This window comes from Homo sapiens, chromosome 8 (genome assembly GCF_000001405.40).
Source record: "Homo sapiens chromosome 8, GRCh38.p14 Primary Assembly".
Classification (NCBI taxonomy): Eukaryota; Metazoa; Chordata; class Mammalia; order Primates; family Hominidae; genus Homo; species Homo sapiens.
Genome location: NC_000008.11, coordinates 116,527,811 through 116,532,707, shown reverse-complemented (window position 1 = coordinate 116,532,707; position 4,897 = coordinate 116,527,811). Strand labels below are relative to the sequence as shown.

General features: G+C 46.2%; 1 annotated feature.

Annotated features, from left to right (window-relative positions):
- Window positions 1,003-1,509: an enhancer, noted in NCBI's record as "H3K27ac-H3K4me1 hESC enhancer chr8:117543437-117543943 (GRCh37/hg19 assembly coordinates)". NCBI's record gives its function as "activates a minimal SCP1, AML or CMV promoter by ChIP-STARR-seq in primed H9 embryonic stem cells {active_cell/tissue: H9 hESC(primed)}" and the evidence as "EXISTENCE:reporter gene assay evidence [ECO:0000049][PMID:30033119]".

The window sequence follows — 4,897 nt, the reverse complement described above, 5'->3', positions numbered from 1 at the left end:
GAACTTGTCTTGTCAGACTGCATCTCCATACAGAGAACCAAATCCCTGTTGCTCAGACATGGTGGCCTGTTGTGCTTTACTGCAATTCAATCCTCATTCGCACTTCCGAGAAGTTTTTTTTCTTCTTCTCCTTTTCTTTTTAAAAATGTAAAATGGAATAATCAGCCATAGTTCTTGGTGGGAAGTCCCTTGTGTTCTGCCCTAGATTTTCAAGCTGGCTGTCAGGCCAAGCCTGATTGTAAAGGGGGAAGGTTTTTTTGTTTTTTGGTTTTTTTTAATTTTAATTTTTTTAGTTAGAAATTTTGTCTCTTTTCTTTTTTTTTCCCTTTCCTTTTTCTGCTATTCTTTTTCATCCCCTCTAAATCACAGTGTTCACAGTTGCATAGCTTCAAAAAGTGTACTTCCTCCCTGCTGGGCTTCAAAAAGTGAATTATCTCCCTGGGAGCAGTGATAGTGTGTCCGGAGTTGGCGGGTTTTTTGTCTCACCGACTTCAAGAATGAAGCCGCGCACCCTTGCGGTGAGTGTTACAGCTCTTAAGGTGGCGCGTCTGGAGTTGTTCGTTCCTTCTGATGTTCGGATGTGTTCCGAGTATCTTCCTTCTGGTGGGTTCGTGGTCTAGCTGGTTCAGAAGTGAAGCTGCAGACCTTCGCGGTAGTGTTACAGCTCTTAAGGCGGCGCGTCTGGAGTTGTTGGTTCCTCCCGGTGGGCTCGTGGTCTCGCTGGCTTCAGGAGTGAAGCTGCAGACCTTCGCGGTGAGTGTTCCAGCTCATAAAAGCAGTGTGGACCCAAAGAGTGAGGAGTAGCAAGATTTATTGCAAAGAGCAAAAGAACAAAGCTCCCACAGCGTGGAAGGGGACCGGAGCGGATTGCCACTGTTGGCTGGGGCAGCCTGCTTTTATTCTCTTATCTGGCCCCACCCACATCTTGCTGATTGGTAGAGCTGAGTGGTCTGTTTTGACAGGGCGCTGATTGGTGTGTTTACAATCCCTGAGCTAGACACAAAGGTTCTCCACGTCCCCACCAGATTAGCTAGATACAGAGTGTGGACACAAAGGTTCTCCAAGGCTCCACCAGAGTAGCTAGATACAGAGTGTCCATTGGTGCATTCACAAACCCTGAGCTAGACACAGGGTGCTGATTGGTGTATTTACAATCCCTGAGCTAGACATAAAGGTTCTCCACGTCCCCACCAGACTCAGGAGCCCAGCTGGCTTCACCCAGTGGATCCCGCACGGGGCCTGCAGGTGGAGCTGCTTGCCAGTCCCGCGCCGTGCGCCCGCACTCCTCAGCCCTTGGGTGGTCGATGGGACTGGGCACCATGGAGCAGGGGGCAGCACTCGTAGGGGAGGCTCCGGCTGCACAGGAGCCCACGGAGTGAGGGGGAGGCTTCGGCATGGCGGGCTGCAGGTCCCAAGCCCTGCCCCGCAGGAAGGCAGCTAAGGCCCGGCAAGAAATTGAGCACGGCAGCTGCTGGCCCAGGTGCTAAGCCCCTCACTGCCTGGGGCCGGTGGGGCCGGCTGGCAGCTCGGAGTGTGGAGTCCGCCGAGCCCACGCCCACCCGGAACTCGCGCTGGCCCGCAAGCACTGCGCACAGCCCCAGTTCCCGCCCGCGCCTCTCCCTCCACACCTCCCCGCAAGCTGAGGGAGCCGGCTCTGGCCTTGGCCAGCCCAGAAGGGGCTCCCACAGTGCAGTGGCGGGCTGAAGGGCTCCTCAAGTGCCGTCCAAGTGGGATCCCAGGCAGAGGAGGAGCCGAGAGCGAGCGAGGGCTGTGAGGACTGCCAGGACGCTGTCACCTCTCAATAGCATGGGACACAGGAGACCGAGATGGCTGTGTGGCTGAAAGCCCCTTGCTGAACTTCTCAGTGAGTTTTAGATTCCCGTTCTATATACTGTCTGTGAGTATTGGAAGCATTATGGAGTTACAGACATCTCTCTTATTCCTCCTTGAGATCCCTATTTGTTTAATTTAAAGCAATTTATATCTGGTAATGTTTTTGCTGGTTAATTCACCGTGTCCATTATCTGTCTCCTTTACTGACCATGAGAACCCCCACTGTCGACTCTGTGCCCAGCACTGTGCTTGGCTCTTAGGAAATGCTCAGGAAACCTTGGATGAATGAACAAGTGAATGAAAAGCTAAAAGGAATCCTCTAACCCATGGCCCACTTGTTCTCATTCTGCAGATGAGAAAAACTAAGGCTCAGTGGGGAAAATCATTTCTTCAAAGTTGCAGAGCTAAGATCCAATGGGAAATCATGAGGGTAGTGCTTGAAAACTGTCACGTGCCATGGAAATAGAAAAGTATGCCGTTTTTCTTCTAGTGGTGAGCTGGGCACAGTGTCAGTGTGCTGACGTGAGAACGGACTGTGGAAACCTAGACAAGTTACCCACCTAGAATGGTGCCTTGAGGAACCTCAGGGCCTGCAACAGTTTATACCAAGTCTGCGTAGGCAAACCAGGCTGCATAGGTCAGCTTCATGGGATTTTAATGAGCTCATTTCCAGAGCAGAAGGAAGGCATCTCCAATTTGTTTTTCAGCCCAGTTTCCCATTGTAAGTCCTTCCTACTCAGCTGCATGTTCCATCAGCTGTCTTTCAAACAACGGTGCCTTCAAATAGCTGCTGATTTCCAAGCAGTTTTATTTTTATTGACTGCCACCCTACCTGAAGTGGGGCTAATGAGTTCTACACAAATATTCGTTTCTATGAAATACGGTTGGAGGAGTGGTCACCCGTCTCTGGGGAAAGAACTACAGGGATAGAAGGATATTAAAAAAAAAGTCTGGGAGCTGGATGTATGCAAAATGGAGAAGTGATTTCAGTAAGGCCAGTTTATTGGAGTGAGGCTATGAGTGAGTCTTGTGATTTGAATTAAGGACCAGGTGCCAAGGCTTAGAATGCCAATTAGAGAAGGAAAAATGCAGTAGCTATTACTTCAGCTTGGCAGGCTCTAGACAGACACGTAATAACGACATTGCTGTACCCTTAAATCAGTTACATGCTGAGGAAGTTAGCTCAGTTTTGGGAATCTATCCTTCTTTCAAGGTGAATTTATTTCTTCTTCTGCAATGTTTCCCATCTATGAAATGTTTATACATGATTTTCTTTTAAACCCCCAATATCTGTGGTCAAATAAGTTTTGAAAAGGTAGTGTTCAATGATGTGAAGAAAGTTGAGTTAAGATGGGACATTTCAAAGTCAGCTTTAGTGATGTTCTTTGGGAATGTCCAAGAGTGGTTATTCTCTGTTGACTATTCTAAGCTTCTATGACCATGGAACACTTTTTGGCAGAGCATTTCGGAGGATTCCAGTTCTGAGAAACTTATCTTTGGAAACAATCTTTTGATGTCCTCCCAGGGTTCAACCATTTGTGATCTGAATGTCTCCTTGGCTCCCTTGGGTAAAATTCTCCTGCCCTGAGAATTGAAATTCTCATGGAAACTTTCCTACCAAGTTTGTCTTATTGCATTTATCAGAATGAACCATTCCATAATAGATATCAGTCAGCACAGTAGTTTTAGATAAATCCAAATGCTATTTGAAAGTTACAGAATTGAACATTCAGATAGGTCAAATAATTTACCCAAGATCACATCATTTTACTTTTGGCCATCCATGAATATAAGAGTTGCTCCATTAAAAGTCTTCCCAATTTCTTTCCTGAGGGCTTTCAGAGCATCCTAGTGGAGGTGCCTCTTTCCATTTTAAAACAGAGTAGGTCTGACCTGGAGGCCTGAGTGTTTTTGTGTAAACTCAACAAAAGTGATCCTCATTCTTGAGAACTTTTTGATCTTACAAAGGAGCTCTGAGGAGAAGGTGACTTTTTTGCTTGTTTTTTTTTTTTAACCTTTCTTGCTTTTGCATCTTGAATAATGCATAAACTGAAATGCCAAAGAGAAGAAGAAGAGAAATTGCAGGAAAGTTAGGCTCTTCTGAGTAATGAACCCACTTTTTCCCACAGCCCCATTGCTGGGACTTGTAGACCAGGGAAGATTTCACCTGTGTGATGGAAAATGTAAGTCTGAAAGAAGAGTTCTCTTTCACTCCTGGTCAGTGGGAGGCCCTTCCCATGTACCCTTCTTCTCTGGCAGAGAGAGGGAGAGCCGGAAACATGGCCTTTTAACATTGTTATCAGCAGTTGGGAGGCTACGGTGAGTTTTGGTTTGGTTTTCATATGAGTGATTACCATCTCTCTAAGAAGGTCAGAGAGAAAGCTGCTGGGGGTGGGGGAGGGACAGATTGGATATGCTGTCATTACCTCCCAAGAAGGCCCCAAAGAGCTTGGAAGTCCGTCAAAGTGGGAATTCCCAAAGTGCGTGGTCAGGACACTTTTGAGGACATTTTTTTTCTTTTTTTTCTTTTTTTTTAAAGAATTGGAATTTAAGATATCATTGACTGAACAGCAAGCCTCAGGTTGCCAGGAATCTATTATAGACAGGGTTATGGTGCATTGGAATGGCTTGTCAATGGCTTCTCCCAGTGTCCAGAAAAGTGAAATGTCTCAGATGCATAATATACAGTTTAGAAGTAGGCACCCATGTTTTGTGCATGTGCCTGACATGGTTAGTCTGTTCACTTTTGTAACCCCAGCATCCAGCACAGTGGCTTGCACGAGGAAGGGAATTAATAAATATTTGTTGAATGAAAAAATTAAGATCTGATGTTGCAACTTCCTGACTTAAGTCACCCTAAGGCCTTTCTGCCTCTCTTTTCCTTTTTACTTCTCCTGTCTCCTATTAAAAATCTGATAATTGACCGTCCTTTTGTTGTTCAATACAGAAATCTGGCGACCTTAACATCTTTGCAATTATAAAGATAAATTTGATGTTCCAGAGTTATTGAAAACAACAGTGAGGCCACAATGGCCTCTTCTGTGTGACAGAGCAACAACTCTAG